Below are 18,684 nucleotides of genomic sequence, written 5' to 3'. Positions count from 1 at the left end.
ACGTTCAATAAATATCTGTTGAATCAATTAGTGTGTTTATGAGTTAATGAACAAATGAATTAATGAATGAGGATGAGAGTAATGATGAATTTTCACACTCAGGCTATCAATATTCATCTTTATATTCCCTTGCAGCATAATCCCATGAATCAGGGTCAGGCATATACTATACAGTCCAGTTCAATATAAAAAATGTTTTGAGAACTCAGGGCATAAGCTGTATGGAGAAAAAACATTTAAGGGAAGGACTAGGAGGGTTTGATCTGTGTTCTACAATCTGGGCAAGGAAAATCAGCATTTCTATTTTACAGTCATTCTGAATACTAAACAAGAACTAGTCATATCCACTTCATGAATGAATTCCTTAAATCACTTAGATCACTTTGTAAATATATTAAAAAATCACTTTCACATATTTTTTAAAAGACAAGTCAACAAGTATCTTCTGTAAGGACTTATGATGATCCAAATTCAGTACCTAGACATGTACCCAAACCAACACTAATATATCTCCTTCTACCTTCCAGTGTCCATCTTTAGATAAATTTACAGTACTATATCCCAAAGTCTTATACAAATTCTTGGGCTTAAGCACTAAAGATATTAATCAAAGTCCAAGTCATTTATTAAACTGCAAGTGGCTATAAAGCAGAGTTAATGCAATTTGTCAGGTAGAGCAAACCAAGAAATGACTTGACCTCTGAGCTTTTAGGACCCCTTTGAAAAGCTGAGTAAAATCATTAGGGAAGAGGTTAAAATTCAACTTTGCTTTATATTCCTCTTCAAATCATGGAAAGTGCAAACATGCACCTAACAATTTAAGATTATGAGTGATAACTTACCAAACAGATTATTTCCTGAGTTTTCCCATGAGGATTTCTTAAAAGTTCAAAATGCTATCTATGTTCAATAATGCAGTTATTATTAATATCCTTCCTTTTAAAATTATGGGTTTTTTAAGCAGCTGACCTTTGACTTACAAAATCCTCAATCCTAGAGATGTCATTGTAACTATGATGTTTTTTGGACATTAATATTTTACTACTTAAATTTGGCAGCATTTTTTTTCTGGAAAGTTTCTCCTTGCTGTATCAATGTTTTAAAATTTGTGATTTAGTAAAATTAAAACAATTTCTTTTTTAAAAATGACCAGGACAGTGTTAGGCTGCATTATTTATCTATTGCTGCGTAACAAATTAATCAAACACTTGGCAGTCAAAACAGCAAATATTTATTTTCTAGGAGTAGGGGCCTAGAATCACCTTAGCTGGGTGGCTCTGGCTGATGGTCTTTCATGAATCAAGCTGTTGGTGGAAGACTGCAGTCATCTCGAGGCTCCACTGGGTGTCAAGGCTCCATCTTGAATTTTACTCTCATGGAGGCTGTGGTTCACTAGGGGGTCAAGATTCCATTACTCTCATGGAGGCTGTGGTCAAGAGGCTTCAGTTTCATACTGGCTACTGGTCTGAGGGCCTCAGGTCCTCATTTGAAGCTGTCTGTAGGATCCACAGTATCTTTTCATGTTAGCCTTTCCACAGAGCAGCTCAAAACATGGCAGCTGGTTTTCCCCAGATTAAATGCCCAATAGGTATAAGAGACAGAACAACCAAGACAGGAGCCACTTTGAATGACCTAGTCGCTAAAGCCACACATCTTCACTTCCACTTTACTCCATTTAATAGAAATGAGTCACCTGAGTTTGGCCCACATTCAATGGACGGGGGGAATTAAATTCCACTTCTTGGAGGGAGGAATTTCAAAGAACCATCACATAGGCAGTGGTTAGAAGCATGGGAGTTGGACACATTTGCAATTAGGAAGATCTGGGTTTGAATACACTGTGCGACTTACCAGCTGTGGGTTCTTGAACAAATTATTTAACCTCCCTACATCATAGTTTCACCAAGTGTACAATTAGGTCGATCATGGGTTTTGTGTGGGATTAAATAATATAAAAAAGGACTTGGTATAGCCCTTGATCATAGTAAGCACTTCATTAATGTTGCTTACACAGAAGTAATTGCTTAAGCAAACTAATTGAGTGTCCACAAGTAGAGAATACATAGCCCTTTGCCTTCTAAGAGTTTATAATCTAGCAGTTACTAAAGTGAGCCTGAATTTAGAAACCAAAAAGCTAATGCGATTTTTTTTTCTCTAGAAATCAGAGGAATTTCTAAAGAGAGGCAGTCAGAAAAGTAGCTTATGCAATATAAGAAAATATATACCAGGCTTAAACATTTTTGTTTGCTTTTTTTTTTTTTTCAGAAGACAGGATGGCTCGGCACGGTGCCTCACACCTGTAATCCCAGCACTTGGAGAGGCTGAGGTGGGCTGATCACTTGAGCTCAGGAGTTCAAGATCAGCCTGGGCAACCTGGCTAAACCCTGTCTCTATTAAAAATACATATATACAAAAATTAGCTGGGCGTGGTGGCCTGCACCTGTAGTCCCACCTACTCAGGAGGCAGAGGCAAGAGAATCGCTTGAACCTGGGAGGCAGAGGTTGCAGTGAGCCAAGTTCACGCCACTGCACTCCAGCCTGGTGACACAGCAAGATTTCGTTTCAAATAAATAAATAAATAAATAAATAAATAAATAAATATAAAAATAATAAGAAGAGAGGCTGTTTTTTCAACTTAAATTTTCTCAGAACTGCTGTGTGTAAAACATGAAAGCACACCACTTTGCAGGACTGAAGGCCCATAAGACATCCAACATGGCTCTGTCCTCTGGACATCCAATAGTCCCTGAGGCTTGGTGAAGCATAGTTTGCAAATCTTCATTCACAGATTGTGCCTGTAATTACTTCTATAAGGTATCTAAGGTCACGGTTTAAAACCATGACAACTTTATGTAGCCATATAAGCAAAGAAAATGGTTTCCTACATATGTTCTAAAAGGTAATATGTCTTCTTTAAAAATATGCAATGCTCTAAACATTAGACTCTAAAGGGATTACCTTTTGGCCAATCCCAGCTTATTCCTTCTAGGAAGAAAAGCACGTTTTTACATGATTGCCTCCTCATATCTTCTTAGAAATTAGATATCATTCTGAGCCAATAATTTGTGTTTTACATAGATTGTGTTATTAGATACTAACTCTAGGCTTCCAACAACTTGTAATCAAAGCAAAAATAAACAAAAAACCCTAAAGCCCATTCTTTTCTGAATTTAGAATTATAGGTTAGAGAAATTTCAGCCCTGGTTAACCTAGTTATTCATGTTGTTTATCTTCCCAGAGCCAAAGCTCAAATAATTTGCAAGAATTTCTAGTTTTGAACATCATGCCCAGAGTTCCAAGGCAACCAAGGGTAATTTTCAGTTGGGCCACTCAAAACATAAAGATTAGTCAAATGTTACACTGAATATTCCACATCCCTCATGTAACACTTAAAAAAGCAGTAACTATGTAAAGACTGAGAAATAGAGGTCAACTATCCAAAACTCAGGCACATTATACAATCATAAAATACTTTAAATTATTACACAATATCAATGTCCTGTCCTTTGGAGATGCTTCTGTGCCTGTTATTAGCCATGTATCAAAAATTTATTTATTATTGGATTATGGGACTTTCTGAAGAGCATTGTGGTCAATTTATGTGGATATCTACATATTAAAAAAACAACATGTTTTACAGATGTTAGGCAGGTTTTGAAAATAATCCACAAATTCAAGGCTGAAACTTAATCCAGCTCACAAAGAAGTGTATACCATGCATCCAGGTCTGCTGTAGTTTGACAATATAGTTTTCAAATTCTGTATACCTAGAAAAAGGACACCAAGAATAGGGGTTAAGCAAGTGGAGAAGTGTGGGAGTAATTGAATACAGCATTAGGAGTGTAGGCTCTGAAGCCAGAAAAACATATGTTTTAATCTCAGCTGTGTTACTAGCTGTGAATCCCTGGCCAAGTAACTTAACTTCCCTTGGTCTCATTTCCTCAGCTAAGTTACTCAAGGCTATGTGCCTTACAGTTATCAGGAGTAAGTGTGATATGCACACACAATGCTAGGCACAGTGTACAGACTCAGTTCATATATGATTTAGGGGGTCCTGTTTTATACCAATGTTCAGGGCACACATTCAAAATCAAATTTCTTCCAAGTTATCCCACTCTTATGACTACCTCTTAGCTTACCAATGAGGACTCAGCTACATATGTACGCTGAGTAAAACTTTGTTCTTGTTGCTGTGATAAATTTAATTAGTTTGGAGAACATACTTTGTGCCCAGCATGATGTTGGATTCAACATCATTGTATTTTCTGTTACAGAACTTGCTATCTGGTTACAAAGGCCGGTAAGTTTAACACATGAGAGGGCCCAAATTAAAAAAGCACATGCACAGTATTTAAAAATCATAAAATCAAAAGCAGTGCACGCTTCTGGATTGAATCCTGGAACAGAAAAGAAGATGTGAGTGGAAGCTCTGGGGGAATTAGGATGAAGTCTGGATTTTAGTTAATAGTACTGTACTAACATTGGTTTCTTAGTGTTGACAAATATATCATGATTATGGATGTCAACATGGGAAACTAGGTGAGGAATATACAGGACCTCTAAAATTTTTGCAACTTTTCTGCAAACCTGAAATTAGTCCCAGATAAAAAACTTACTTAAATAAATTATATTGTGTTATCCCTTAACTTGCCTAAAGTATTCACCTCACCTAAGTAGGCTCTCTCATCGCTGGCAAGGTAGAAATCTCTCTGAAAAACTTCTCTACCCAGGAATGGCTTTTATTATTGACTTTAAAATCTAAGTTTCATAACCTGCTAATAATCATCTAGATATATCTTTCATTTTTACTATGTGACAATAATACAGGCACGTTGACAGAGAAGTCAAAAGGAACTCATCTCTGGCCAGCAGGACTCTTCTGGAGGAGGGAAATCTCAACAGTTCAAACAAAGTAAACACTTCAGGGACTCACTGAAGCCCTAGTTTCGTTGTTTGGGGAAAGGAGGAGAAAAAAATAGCGACTGTTATCAAGAGGGTCTTTTATAAGTGAAGGTTTCAAGTCTTTATGCTCAAAAAGATACTGTAGGGAATTCTCTATATCTGCAGTGCCCAATATGTGCCAGGCACTATTTTGACTCATTGCTTGTGAAATAAGAATAATCAACTGTTTTTTTGCAGATAAAGCTCAGAGAGTTTAATTGGCTGAGAGTCACAAAGATAGTAAAGATAAGAAGGGTTGTATTCAAATCCGGTCAGACAAGCAGATTTGTGTGAATCCAAAGCCTACTCCATGCCCTTTCCAAAAAGTCAACCAATTTGTAAGCTTTGGCTATGGTTGACATCTCAACAGGCATCTGCCAACCCTAATTTACAGGTGAATCTGTGTGTGTTCCCAGGCGAAAGAACTGCTGGTCAAGTACCAGTTATCTCAATTCACATTCCACCCATTCAGATAGTTAACATAGCTAACTATCATCCTTCTATAAAAATGGCAGAGATAAACAACATGCTATTCCATAGTTATAGCCCATGTTAATAGGAGGGACTGTGGTGCTGCAACAAGAGCTCTTGAAAGAAAACTAAAAGAATTGAGTTATAAATCTGTCACTGAGACTGTGAAGTTTAATCCTAGAAGAAAGTTTTGTCACTTCTCAGGGCCTCCCATTTCCTCACCTATAAATAAAGTGAGGATATGAGACTCAAGTATTTCAATAGGGATCTACTGGCATTTGAGGAGGCACAATAATTTCTTATATAGGACTGCCCCTGGCATCACAGAAATTTAGCATTTCTGACTTCAGGCACCAAAAGCCTACAACTCTTTCCAGTTCTTATAATAACTGTATTTCCCAATGTCCCTATGCACTACCTAGCAGAAAGGAGTGGCTTGGTTGACAGCCACTGGTAGATGATCTCAAGTTCTGTGAGGCCCTATGGCTCTATTGGGCCAGGACTGTCAGCATCAGCACATGGCTTGAGAGCAGGAGCAGAGGAGGTAATCTCAGGTCAGCTCTGCCATTGTAAAGCCCATTCAAGATCATATTCTTGAATGGAAGTCATATTGTTGGCATCTTTAATAGGCCTCTTGGAACATTGTTTAAGAAAGAAGTTTTCAGACTGAATTTACATAATGTTCAGAAAAGATAAATGTGCTGAAATACCACACAGCAGCCACCACTATCCAATCAGCAATAGGGTCAGGGTGGCCACTCCAATAGCCCTACCCAAGGGATGAGCCTATATGCAGCGACCATAATAAGCAATGGGAAGAGCTTCCAACGGATAACAAATCCACAGCCTGGTACTCTCTGCCTCCTCCCTATTACCAGTAACCCCAGTGAACTCAAGATACGCCTCCTGGTCCTCAGTTCCTAACTCCTTGCATGAAACCTCTCCAACCCTTCTACCTAACCAAAAAAAAAAAAAAAAAAAAAAAATACCATATCTTAAGTACTGGCTCAGGAGCCATGTTGCCCATGAAGGCCACTCTTCCAATCCCTCAGTCCAAACAGATTGTCCTTCTCTCTAAATAAATGTAGCATTTATAGTCTCTAATGAACTTTTCATTAAGTTGTACAGTCATCGACTGTTCCATAATCACACCATGAATGTACATTAATAGTGTTGCCTTCTAGCTTGAATGCTTGGTACTAAAGTCAAGAGTCATGTTTTAATTCCCTAGTGTCTAGCACATTCCTGGGAACACACTAATGGATTGATAAATACATGTTCTGTTTTTGATTTTTCACAATGATACCAAAAATACCACTAGCCTGGCCAGACTTACATCCTGTAGGCTAATTTAAAAAAAAACTTATTTATTCAACATATTTTCCCAAGTAGTTTTCAAAGTACTTTTCAGATTATATAAATAATTCTCTCCCTATATGCACCGAGAAAAATAAATTAAAACACTAAACTTTGTAGGACAAAAGCAAAGAGAATTAAAATGTCATGCTCCATAATAAGTATACTAAGATCTGGCAAAGTAGATATGTCTCCCAAGTCCTACTAAGTCCTAGATAAAATGTGAAACATATATCCATCTTGCTCCAAGTACTAAAAACTTCTAAATGTTTCCAAGGCTGTGAACAGCATACACCTTGGAAAGCAGGTCATGAAGTTTGAGTGACATCATTAATCTAAGGAGAATAATAGCAAATTTGCATTATGAACCTGATCCTATCTACATCCTTTTGCCCTCAAATTATCCACAAACTTCTTGTCAATGCTTCCATATTTCTGTATGTTTTACTACATATTAAGGCCACCTGCAAAATATTTACTGAACACCTATTCTATGGCAAAGAAAAGCATGGCTTCACCAATGTCTCTATGGGAAATAAGGTGCTACATTGAAAGAATGAACTATGAAAGTAGTAGTTCTTCTTTATTCTTGCTTCTCTTTCTTTAATCTTTCTGATTTCCTAGGTATAAAAATGATGCCTTTCCTTTATCTATTTCATCTTGCCCAGGGATTCTGGTATCTTCTTCTATCCCCAGGGGAAGAAGCCACTGCAGAGGCTCTATCTCCACGGTCTTTACAGAATTTATCATTCACATATGCTTTGTCAGATTAGTCTTCATTAGTTTGGCCAACTTAGAGGCTTTCTAGTATAACAATCACATAGCTTGAAAGTGTGCAGAGAAGCAGCTGATAGGGTGAATTAGGATCATGTGCCACATAGTGACGAAGAACAAAGGCTGCCTTTCTGACCAATGGCAATCAAAATTGAATGTCTGACTGAGGTTTCTCACCAGCCATCATCAAATTCAAGATGATCATTTACAGCATCAATTATGCACCTTTTCTCTCAATAAGCACAGGGAAAGAACTATCTGCGATTCTGTTTTGTAATGATAACACTCTACTTTCATTGATATGGCAATTCAAAGTTTTAAAAGATAGATATAATGCTTAATAAAATAAAGTGCATTTTTTAAAGCAAGAAAAGAATAAGGATTTTTCTTTGGACTTTATCACTTGTTTAATATACTGTATTCTAAAGGAATAGAGGAGATGCTTCTTTTAAGACTTTTCAATAGGCTACTTCAAATGTTTAATTTTATAAACAACCGAGGAAAAAATCAAGGAGTTACTACAGCAAATGTCTAGCACAGTAGGTTGTCAACCATGGATAAGTACATAAAAGTACCTGTTCAGATTGCAAAATCTTGATGTGTTCCAGTTCCCTATCAGGGAATTCTCTACACCTGTGCTGAATCCCTGTGAAATGCGCTTCTTCCCTAGGACACAGGTTGTCCACCATGGATAAGTACATAAAAGTACCTTTTCAATTTGCAAACTCTTGATGTGTTCCAATTCTCTATCAGGGAATTCTCTACACCTGTACTGAATCCCTGTGAAGTGCACTTCTTCCCTAGGATACCCCTTTTTACTTAGAAGCCAGCCAGCTGGAGATAGATTTATCTTTAAACAAATTCACAACCTAAGAAGTATAATTCATTGGGAATATAATAATGTTAGCCTAAAGAAAACTGGCTGAAGTCTTATCAACAACAAAAGAAGAAAGCCCTAATCAAAACAGTAAACACATCTGGAAGTTTGAAAGACTCTGTAGAAGAAGTTATCTGCTGATTTTGGAATGGAGTATTTGAAGGTAAGTTTAGATGCTGATTAAAAGCATGCAGCCAGCAATTTCTGACAAAATCACTACCTTCTTATGAATCATTACTAAGTAAAATTAGTGCCTGGCCTAAGGCTTTATTTGCCTATATTAAAAGGTAGGAAGAAGCACTGAAGAAAGAAGTTGAGACTAAAAAACAATGACTTTTCCATCCTTCTTTGAAGAACCTGGTACTCATCAATGAATTTTCTTTAGCACAAAGAAAAAAACAACAACAAAAGAGAAAAACAATATTTCAGAAAGACTTTCTGCATCAGATAGTGATGAGTTGCATTGTTTTAGAATGAAAGCAAGAAGCATGGTTTTGATAAAATTTTTATCTATTTTATTTAATTGATTAAAAATTAATGATGAGAGAATAAAATAGGCAAACATTTTTTGATGCTTACATTTAAAAGAAGAGAGAAATTTGATAATTAAATGGATTCAAACAATAGCCCTGAAGAGAATTCTAAGGGGTCATTTTGTTTACTTCTCCTTTTTGCTTGTTTTTAACATACAAGAAATATGAAGCCCAGGAAGGTTAAATAGTTGGCAAAAACTGCAAAGCCCATTAAAGGCAGAGCTTGGAGAGGACCCAAGTTTCTTGACATCTAATTTACTATTATTTCATATTATATCATCCTAACTTAGACGTTTCTTATAGCAAAGTAAACCTTTGGTTTGAAAATTGCATGTCCAAGTACTTGCCAATGGGTCTCTTGTAATTTTGGGGGGTGAGGACTGGGAGGTGGGGAGTAGTGAAATGAATGTTTGAAATGTAAAAAAAGGAACTGAATCATTGCTTATTTCTTCCCTTCATATCAGACTAGAATAAAGCAAAAAAGCAAATGTGTATGAATTGAGACCATAATGCTGGGGATAAAGTGAAGAAACACACACATACACACACACACACACACACACACACACACGGGACTAGCATGGACAATTTTATCTAAGTGCACAACACTATGATTATCCCCTTGTCTTGATCAAAGGTCTCTCAAAGGGCTTTTGGTAGGCTCAGATGTCAGTTTATATCACAGGTTTGTTTTTTCTCTCTCATCCTCCCACCCCACTGCACCAAGAAACATAGCCATTTGTTTCACATTCAGACTTGCTGAAAAACTGACATTGTCTCTTCATCATCCAACATATATGTTTTTGTGTGTGTGTATGTGTGTGTGTGTGCAGGAAGACAATGCTGTGGCAGATTCTTAGCTTGGTGGCAAGGGGAATTCACAATTTAGCTGGAAGCCCAAGACAGATACATAAAAGAGAAATCAGTCACACCAGGTAGGTGCCCAATGCACACTTCAGGCCTCTCCTCTGGATAAGCCAGATTTGCTATCTTCTTCCAAGGCAGCTAAGACTTGGTAAGCTAAGAGTAACAGGGCCTTTGTCCAGCTCCTGTCCAGACCTACAACAGGACATGGGACCTGCTTATGGAGTGTGAACACTTTAGACTTTCCTGTGGCATTGGCAAGCCATTTACCTCCTGAGAAAAAGTAGATGGCTGACTTAGACATGTCCTGCATGCACATCTTAAATCCCAGTTGCCCAAGGAAGTATCTTTATTTGATGTACTTTCACTTCATTTAAGGCCAGATGGCATACTCTCTGGGACTTTGGCAGAACAAGCCTTCAATAAATGCCTGATTGCTAGTACTGACTCATGTTCATGGAAGCAGACACAATGAGGCCTATGAAAAAAATACATCATAGTCCCTACCTGTCTATAACATGTAGTTTCAACTTGTTTATCTTTGGAACATTCTACTTTCGGTATATTTGGGGTTGATATTCCTTGATAGGGAGAAATTAAGTCACTATTTGCACTGTTTATAGAATTTTATTTACCCACACAGTATTATACTTTCCATAAATTTATAGTACATTCAGGCATGAAAAAATGTTTTGAAGCTATTATAAAAATGCTTTGACTATGGATGATTAATAATCTGAAAAGAACAAGTTATCTTGTTTATAGGTATGAAATTAATCAAGAGCGTAATGAAATGGCTAAAGAATTTCATTAATATTAAACTGTCTTAATAGATATAGAATGTTCAGAACTACAAATTATAAATCTTTTGTTTAGAAAACACACATTAGGAGGGACAGTCAGTAATATGGTTTTGCTGTGTCCCCACCCCAATTTCATCTTGAATTGTAGCTACCATAATCCCCATGTGTCATGGGAGGAACCCAGTGGGAGGTCATTGAACCAAGAGGGCGAGTTTTTCCCATGCTGTTCTTGCGATAGTGATTAAGTCTCATGAGATGTGATGGTTTTATAAAGGGTAGTTCCCCCGCACATGCCTTATTGTCTGCCACCATGTAAGAGTGCCTTATTCCTCCTTCACCTTCTGCCATGATTGAGAGGCCTCCCAGCCATGTGGAACTGTGCGACCATTAAACCTAATTTTCTTTATAAATTACCCAGTCTTGGGTATGTCTTTGTTAGCAGCATGAGAATGGGCTAATATAGTAAGTTGGTAATGGTAGAGTTGGTGCTGCTGTAAAGATACCCAAAAATGTGGAAGCAACTTTAGAACTGGGTAACAGGCAGAGGTTTGAACAGTATGGAGGGCTCAAAAGAAGACAGGAAAATGTGGGAAAGTTTGGAACTTTCTAGAGACTTGGAGGGCTCAGAAAACAGGAAGATGTGGGAAAGTTTGGAACTTCCTAGAGACTTGTTGAATGGCTTTGACCAAAATGCTTATAGTGATATGGACAATAAAGTCCAGGCTGATGTGGTCTCAGATGAAGATGAAGAACTTGTTGGGAACTGGAGCAAAGGTGACTCTTGTTAATGCTTTAGCAAAGAGACTGGTGGCATTTTTCCCCTGTCCTAGAGATCTGTGGAACTTTAAACTTGAGAGAGATTATTTAGGGTATCTGGCAGAAGAAATTTAGAAGCAGCAAAGCATTCAAGAGGTGAAAAGAGCATAAAAGTTTGGAAAATGTGCAAGCTGATGATGCCATAGAAAAGAAAAACCCATTTTCTGGGGAGAAATTCAAGACTGCTGCAGAAATTTGCATAAGTAATGAGAAGCCAAATGTTGGTCACCAAGACAATAGGGAAAATGTCTCCAGAACATGTCAGAGGCCTTTATGGCAGCCCCTCACATCACAGGCCCAGAGGCCTACGAGGGAAAAATGGTTTTCTGGGCCTGCTAGGTGCAGCCTAGGTACTTGGTACCCTGTGTCCCAGCCCCTCTAGCCATGTCTAAAAGGGGCCAAGGTACAGCTCAGGCCATGGCTGCAAAGGGTGAAAGCCCCAAGTCTTGGAAGCTTCCATGTGGTGTTGGTCCTGCAGGTGCACAGAAGACAAGAACTGAGGTTTGGGAACTTCCACCTAGATTTCAGAGGATGTATGGAAATGCCTGGATGTCCAGGCAGAGTTGTCCTGCAGGGGCAGAGCCCTCATAAACAACCCTTGCTAGGGCAATGAGGAAAAGAAATGTGGGGTTGGATCCTCTACACAGAGTCCCCAGTGGGTCACTGCCTAGTAGAGCTAAGAGAAGAGGGCCACCATTCCCCAGCACCCCCAATGGTAGGGGCTGACAGTTAGCACCATGTGCCTGGAAAAGCCACAGTCAATGCCAGCCATGAAAACAGCCTGGATGTGAGACATGAAGTCAAAGGAGTTCATTTCAGAACTTTAAGGTTTAATGACTGCCCTATTAGACTTTGGACTTGCACCTATAGCCCCTCTGTTTTGGCCAATTTCTCCCATTTGGAATGGGCATATTTACACAATGCCTGTACCTCCATTGTATCTAGAAAGTAACTAACTTGCTTTTGATTTTACAGGCTCATAGGTGGAAGGGACTTGCCTTGGTTCAGGTGAGACTTTGGACTGTGGATTTTTGAGTTAATGCTGAAATGAGTTAAGACTTTGGGGGACTGTTGGGAAGGTATGATTGGTTTTGAAATGTGAGAACATGAGATTTAGGAGGGGCTAGGAGCGGAATGATATGGTTTGGCTTTGTCTCCACCCAAATGCCATCTTGAATTGTAGTTCCCATAATTCCCACATGTGGTGGAAGGGACCCAGTAGGAGTTGATTAAATCATGGAAGTGGGTTTTTCCCATGTTGTTCTCATGATAGTGAATAAGTCTAATGAGATCTGATGGTTCTATAAAGGGCAGTTCCCCTGCACATGCTTTCTTGCCTGCTGTCATGTAAGACATGCCTTTGCTCCTCCTTCACCTTCCGCCATGATTGTGAGGCCTCCCCAGCCATGTGGAACTGTGAATCCATTAAACCTCTTTTTCTTTATAAATTACACAGTCTCACGTATGTCTTTATTAGCAGCATGAGAACAGACTAATACAATGAGAATGTACAATCAAGGGCATCTTGTTCAAGGCAGAGGAGGGTGGAACCCTATAGTGGATGAAAAACTGCTCCAAGAGTAGGCAAAAGGGGATTCGGCAAGGAGGATAATATTTGTTTTCAAGTATGGTAAACACAGGGAAAAGAGACTAGATTCATTGTGGTCAGCTGCTGAAGGATAGGCAAGTGGATGGAAGAAAATGTTGATTCAGTATAAGAACTTTCTAGAAATGAATCTTTCCTAGAATGGACTGACCAATGAAAAAGGGAGATTTCCAACTGATTATTTCCAATAAGAGATAGACTAGACCATTTTCACAGATAGAGGTTCATGCACCAGATAATTACCTCTAAAGTAATTATCATCTTAAGTAATTCTTTTATGGGACATATTATTTATATTATCTGTTTCAGGTTGAAAAAAATTACTTGCCAGAAAGACATTCTGTACTGTCTTGTTTACACAATTGGCTGAGGGATGACTCCAGTCTTACCAAACTTCGATTCTTATCAATTGAAGATTGAAAAGGTGATTAGGAGATTTGAATGCTCATAATATTTAAATAATTACCACAGAAATTATAGGGTTCTTTTTAAAGAAGAAAAAGTATTGGCTTGTATGGACACACATAAACACATTAAGAAATATAAGTTATTTTCATTACTGACATACTTTTTAAAAATTGCTCTTTAAAAGCAAACCAAATTCCCATAGTTGTGCAATTTGCCAGTGGTACGACCTGAGAAGTGTAATCTTCAGGTTAGCAGATTTAAAAAACATAATCCATGCTTTTTTCACTAAGCTAAACAATTTACTGTCCCACTTTCTCACTACGTCACTCACATTTATCTTTACATTAACATTGCTCACCAGGAGATAGCCAAAGAAGGCTAGCCAAGTTGGACCAACTGCAAGATTTGTTTCCCTGCTGCAAGATTTGCTTCATGCACTTGGAAGAAGCACGCTGCAACTGTGGCTCCATTTATTATATTATGCTATAAACATTATGTCCTGAGCTAACAAGATACTCAACATGACAATCCCATAGGTTACCAAGCACTGTAAACATCTGTTTAAGCAGGCGCCAGAGATAGCATACAGGAGGCCTCTAGTATCCATTTTAAAGTGGTTTATGATGTGGAGTCTGCTGTTTAAAAACTAATAATAAAAAACATGGGCCCAAAGCCTGGCTAAAACAAATTTTTGTGAGCACAGTTATGTTCATTTTGAAAAAAGAATGCACTCATCTCGTCACTTTGTCATTGCATTTATAGACTTTCATTTCACACCTTTGCCCATTAAGTGTTGGCTTTCCATGGGCTTCAGGAGACCATAACTATAATTTCACTGTGATATATTTACTCCAATAAAAAAAAGCTAAATGTTGACACACCAACTTTCCTTAGATTAATGCAAAACAAAAAGTTTATAAGGGTGGAAGAAGATGATGAGAGACGGGACAACCTCTTTAAGCTACACATGATGTCTTCCAAAGGTCTTTAGGCCAAAACACATCCTTCCAGCTCCATCCAAAGGCCCAGAAGGGAAGCTGTAGATAGCTGAAGACTCCTTGAAATCTAATCTGGAAACACTGAGCTTTGCTTTTCTCAAAAGGAAAAAGAGCTCCCAATCACTGAATAAATAGAATCAACAATCCTGTCTGCTGCATCAATTTTGTTTCTATCCAGCATTTTAATTTCTGGAAAGGTTTCAACATTTATCATCAGAAAAAAGACACTTCTAGGGTGATTCAGGTGGAAACTAGCCTGGAACACCAGTTGCTCAGGAAACAGAGCCTGACCTGCCACAATATCCCATGTCTGCAAGAAAAGATGAGTGTCTTCCCAGGCACACACACCAGGGAGCCTGAATACCTCTGAAACCAGCCAGTCCCTGGACTGTGGACAGCAGCACCCTGAAAATTTCAAATTCATAGCTCCAACCTGTGTCTGTCTCCGAAGTTCTGTACTCACACATATTACACATCCCTTAGACCTCCCAAACGCCCTCCCATGCAGTTCTCCTGAGAACTCCCCAAAACCTCACTTCCAGTCCTCAGCCACTCAGGGCAATGCGTTTAGTTATTTTAAAGCCCTTAATACTTAATCCTATGCAGAAACTACTCTGACTTCCCAACACTTTGGCCTTCCGTTACCTTTCTCTGTCCCTTCCAAGGTCTCCTGGCGGCACAAACAGACAGGCGGCACCTCTGTGGCCTCTTCCACCCTGCACACCCTACTGGCTCAGGCGCCGACACGCCTCCCCAGGCGCACACTCGCGCGCGCACACACAGCGCACACGTACACTCATTCAGGACACACAGTCCGCGCCAGACCGAGAGCCCCCGCAGCTCGGTCTCAGCAGGCATCCCCTCGGGCTATATATAAAGCACTCGCCCCAAATAGACTTCCCCACGCACTCGCAAGTGCCCTGCCCCGCACCCTCTGCGCCGCCAGCGCCCTCTCCCTAGACACGCGGCCACCCCATTGACCCGCAGCCTCTGGCAGTTCTGTCAAAACTTTAAGCCTGGTTGATTTTACAACCACTAGTGTGTCAAAAGCTGGGGGAGGTCGGCTCGCCACAATTTCCACTTACCCCAGTTCATGCGGACTGGTGGCTGTCACTCTACTGACCCCAGTTCCATCGGTGCCAACGTGCGGCTGCGGCCCGCACAAACGCGCAAAAGACCGCGCGCTCTGCGCGCTGTGTCCACGCGCACAGCTCGACCTCCCCAGTCTCTCCAGTCGCGCTGCCGGGGATTCTTCCCCGCGCAACAGCAGCAGCCTCGGCAGTTCCTGCCGCAGCCAGGCAGATGATGGCAAACAGAAACACACTAGCAAAACTTTTATGACTTTAACAAAACTGTCTCCGGAGTAAACCCCTCCACGTACACTACTCGCGGGCCAGAGCAGACGCCAGAGTGTGATGGTTCGTCTGTCGCCCGCAACTCCCTGCCGCCCTCACCAACTTCCAGACACACACACACACACACACACACACACACACACACACACACACACACTAGATTGGGTTACAACAACCCACCAGCAGAAAACAACTTCTTCGCAAGGAGGAGGGGAGCACAGCCAAGTCATCCGGAATAAAAAATTATCCGTGTAAATATATAAGACAGATCCTCCCGTTTTCATAAACAACTAGAGTCCCAGGGTTCACCCTCAGGCCCCCTGGCACAACAGGAGGAAAATAAAGCCAGACTCCCGGAGCCCCACTCCAGTACCTCCGAGCTTCGCCTCTGATCAGAGAGCGCGGGTTCGCGTCTGCGCTGGGGCCAATGGTGCCGGGGCCTCCGGCCCGCGTGGCCCCAGCCCGGGGTCCCCGCCGCCGCCCGGGCTCAGCAGCAGCCGCCGCCGCCACCGCCACTGTAGCAGCTGCTGCTGCCGCTGCCGCCGCCGCCGCCGCTCCCTAGCCCTCCTCCTCTTCCCATGGCTGCGCCCTGCTTGGCAGCTCGCGGGCTGTCAGGCTTGGGGAGGAGAGAGGGGGCGGGGTGAAACGGGAAGGGAGGATGGGAGGGCAGGGGTGGGAAAAGGCGGCCACCGTTCACCAGGGGTCACGCCGCGCCTGGCCCGCAGTCCCCCAGATCCAGGTTGCAGAAGCGAAGGCGAAGCGGACGTTCAAGGAGGCCAGTTCGAGAACTGCTGCGGAGAGGCCGAGTGCCGCCCGGGCCAAGCATTCCGAGTTGCTGGGATGAAGTCTTCCCGGCGAGGAGCTGGAGTTGGTGCGTGTCACTCTCAACTGAGCTGCGCGGCTCCTCCTAGAGGAAAATATTGGTAGTTGCAATACACTTCCTTCCTCTCCGCCTGCCCGTTCCAAATGAAAGCAGGACCTACAAGAGCGTTAAGTGCAGTCCACAGACTCAAAGAAACACTTACAAAAAGGTTAGCTATCTCCAGGAATGAGAGGAAGATCAGCGAGATACCTTGGAAAGCGTGTTTAGCCATCCAAATATTGCCTTTCCATCAACAATCAAGTTCCAAACTCCTGCTCACTGGGGCACAGTGAAAAGATAGTTAAAACTACGAAGGACTTTATTGTGGAGGTTAGAAGACGGAGACAGAGAGAATGAGTAATTTACCAAGGACACTCAGCATGTTAGCAGAGAGGTATCTGCTAGAGGACAGGGATGCAGGGAGAGCAGACACAGGCCCCAGCCTGAAGTTCCTGAGCCAGGAAAAGGGTTTTAACTCTGCCTCACGCTGGACATAGCTCATCTGTCAAATGCGAGCCCTGCCTACTTCATTCACAAGAAGTTGTAAAAGTGTTGCAGAAAGTTAAAGTTGTGCATAAGCATGTCATTTTTGTACAGCATCAAACCCCAAGTCACTATATGCTTTTCTGAGTAGAGAGTACAAAAATCTAGCTCCAGGTTGTCTCAGATCTGAAGGAGTAGCTAGTCATGCAATCTTTCCACTATTTACTGACGGTCAATTGTAATGTCACTTACTTATAAGCTTCTAACAGCTTTGGCTTACTAAAGACTTTTTTTTTTTAACAGAGCTCCCAGACACAAACCCAAGTTTATACCCAGAAAGAAATGTTTAAACAACTTAAAGGAACCAAGTTTCTTTTCTTTAGAATAAAATATCTATAGGGCTTTGAAGTAGTACACGGGAGCCAAGACTTGAGAAGGAACAGAGGACCAAAGACTCTGGGATAGCAGATATCACATAAGATACCCCTATTTTCAAAGGAATCAGATAAGTGAAAAACTGTTCCTTAGAATGCTTTCAGAAGCTCAGCTGTGGCTCAAATACCCCAGCTGTTCCAGACAGACACCTAGAATGAACGAAAAAGGAAAGATTCTGGAAGGGGCGTGTTTTATCATGGGGTGGGATGGTTATTGATCCTGAACTGCTCTTGTTCTATGGCATCTAAAAATAAGGAGGCATTTAGTTCCCCTAAGACTCTTCCCCAAACCATTGATTTCTGGGGCTTCATACTTTGCTGGAGCAATAGTGGTGCTTGGCTGTGTCTGGAGCTTTTAAAAGGGGAGGTACCCATATAGAGAAACTTGGGAAAGTAAAAGATTAGGGCACAGTCAAGAAAAACTCCTGCTGGGTGGTCCATACCTGCCAAGCTGGCTGACAGGGTAGTCCTGGCAGGAGTAGAGACCAGACAGGCCTCAAATGCTGACTCCACGCCTGTCTGAAATGACCTTCCAAGTTGGACCTTCTTCAGAGCCTGGCACTACCAACCTCTCTGTTTATATCCTCTCTGTGCCTTCTCATCCTTTGCCCTTCTTCCCTGAGCTAGAGAATCTTGATCTAGTTTAGGAGGTGCCAGACGGAGTCATAAAAGATATTCTAAATTCTATTGTTTATGCTCTGAGATGAGCTCAGGGCCATACTTAAAAAAATAAGAATTGACTTCTTTTTTTTTTTAAATCTGGGTTCAGCAATATCCTCCATTCTGTGTGCCATGAAACTAGACTACTCTGGCTGCTGCTCTGTCTTTGATTTTTAAAAAGTCATCATGCACAGAAAACATAGGAAAAGACACCTCAGTTAATACTATAGAACTAGATATAAACCTGCAACTGACATGAAGGGCAGTCTTTATTTTTAAGCCTCGTAAGTAAAGGTCCTTCAATCTCATATATGACCAGGTATTGGTCCATAGTAGTATGTGCCTCTTTATATATTCCAAATTGTGAGGGAAAATGTAGCAGGTATTGAGTTGATTAATTTGTTATAAGTTAAGGCATGCCAGAGCACATTTACCTTCTGAAG

At 40.8% G+C, this 18,684-nt stretch overlaps 1 protein-coding gene across 5 annotated transcripts in view, besides 15 other annotated features; it reads right to left on the bottom strand.

The window, feature by feature from the left end:
* GHR (growth hormone receptor) overlaps positions 1-16,692 on the bottom strand; it is a 298,440-nt gene extending 281,748 nt beyond the window's left edge. For 2 of the 5 annotated variants that reach the window (NM_000163.5, NM_001242460.2), the window contains exon 1: positions 16,176-16,692. Coding sequence is in view for 1 of the 5 variants with exons in the window: in NM_001242399.2 (NP_001229328.1) it covers positions 15,533-15,542 (10 nt within the window). In the remaining 4 variants the exon portion in view is untranslated. Of the gene's footprint in view, positions 1-15,092; positions 15,151-15,532; positions 15,680-16,175 lie in introns of those variants that run through there. The other 3 variants (NM_001242400.2, NM_001242399.2, NM_001242401.4) reach the window with 2 other exon arrangements.
* Positions 15,070-15,487: a promoter, noted in NCBI's record as "SpeI/BxtXI fragment for V3P3". NCBI's record gives the evidence for it as "EXISTENCE:reporter gene assay evidence [ECO:0000049][PMID:17991764]".
* Positions 15,070-17,409: a biological region, named in NCBI's record as "GHR upstream promoter region module A". NCBI's record gives its function as "regulatory_interactions: GHR".
* Positions 15,265-15,294: a protein binding site, noted in NCBI's record as "GAGA3". NCBI's record gives the evidence for it as "EXISTENCE:protein binding evidence [ECO:0000024][PMID:21238539]".
* Positions 15,373-15,412: a protein binding site, noted in NCBI's record as "GAGA1/2". NCBI's record gives the evidence for it as "EXISTENCE:protein binding evidence [ECO:0000024][PMID:21238539]".
* Positions 15,652-15,999: a promoter, noted in NCBI's record as "(-165)V9 promoter". NCBI's record gives the evidence for it as "EXISTENCE:reporter gene assay evidence [ECO:0000049][PMID:11316758]".
* Positions 15,652-16,420: a promoter, noted in NCBI's record as "(-585)V9 promoter". NCBI's record gives the evidence for it as "EXISTENCE:reporter gene assay evidence [ECO:0000049][PMID:11316758]".
* Positions 15,951-15,979: a protein binding site, noted in NCBI's record as "V9 (CCAAT)". NCBI's record gives the evidence for it as "EXISTENCE:protein binding evidence [ECO:0000024][PMID:11316758]".
* Positions 16,324-17,409: a promoter, noted in NCBI's record as "HindIII/PvuII fragment for V2P1". NCBI's record gives the evidence for it as "EXISTENCE:reporter gene assay evidence [ECO:0000049][PMID:17991764]".
* Positions 16,328-16,900: a promoter, noted in NCBI's record as "P2 promoter; -211 to +362 relative to 5' most ovoid transcription start site (PMID:19116246)". NCBI's record gives the evidence for it as "EXISTENCE:reporter gene assay evidence [ECO:0000049][PMID:19116246]".
* Positions 16,523-16,563: a transcriptional cis regulatory region, noted in NCBI's record as "+125 to +165". NCBI's record gives its function as "positive regulation of transcription" and the evidence as "EXISTENCE:reporter gene assay evidence [ECO:0000049][PMID:19116246]".
* Positions 16,547-16,696: an enhancer, noted in NCBI's record as "active region_22511". NCBI's record gives its function as "activates an Ori minimal core promoter by ATAC-STARR-seq in GM12878 lymphoblastoid cells {active_cell/tissue: GM12878}" and the evidence as "EXISTENCE:reporter gene assay evidence [ECO:0000049][PMID:35858748]".
* Positions 16,596-16,616: a protein binding site, noted in NCBI's record as "Hes1 site 1". NCBI's record gives its function as "negative regulation of transcription" and the evidence as "EXISTENCE:protein binding evidence [ECO:0000024][PMID:19116245]".
* Positions 16,618-16,718: a promoter, noted in NCBI's record as "core promoter; -29 to +71 relative to 5' most ovoid transcription start site (PMID:19116246)". NCBI's record gives the evidence for it as "EXISTENCE:reporter gene assay evidence [ECO:0000049][PMID:19116246]".
* Positions 16,726-16,760: a protein binding site, noted in NCBI's record as "c-ETS". NCBI's record gives its function as "positive regulation of transcription" and the evidence as "EXISTENCE:protein binding evidence [ECO:0000024][PMID:19116245]".
* Positions 16,901-17,409: a transcriptional cis regulatory region, noted in NCBI's record as "-720 to -211". NCBI's record gives its function as "negative regulation of transcription" and the evidence as "EXISTENCE:reporter gene assay evidence [ECO:0000049][PMID:19116246]".

This window comes from Homo sapiens, chromosome 5 (assembly GCF_000001405.40).
Source record: "Homo sapiens chromosome 5, GRCh38.p14 Primary Assembly".
NCBI classification, from domain to species: Eukaryota; Metazoa; Chordata; class Mammalia; order Primates; family Hominidae; genus Homo; species Homo sapiens.
The sequence above is the reverse complement of the archived record's forward strand: the minus strand, read 5'-3'. Positions and strand labels throughout refer to the sequence as shown.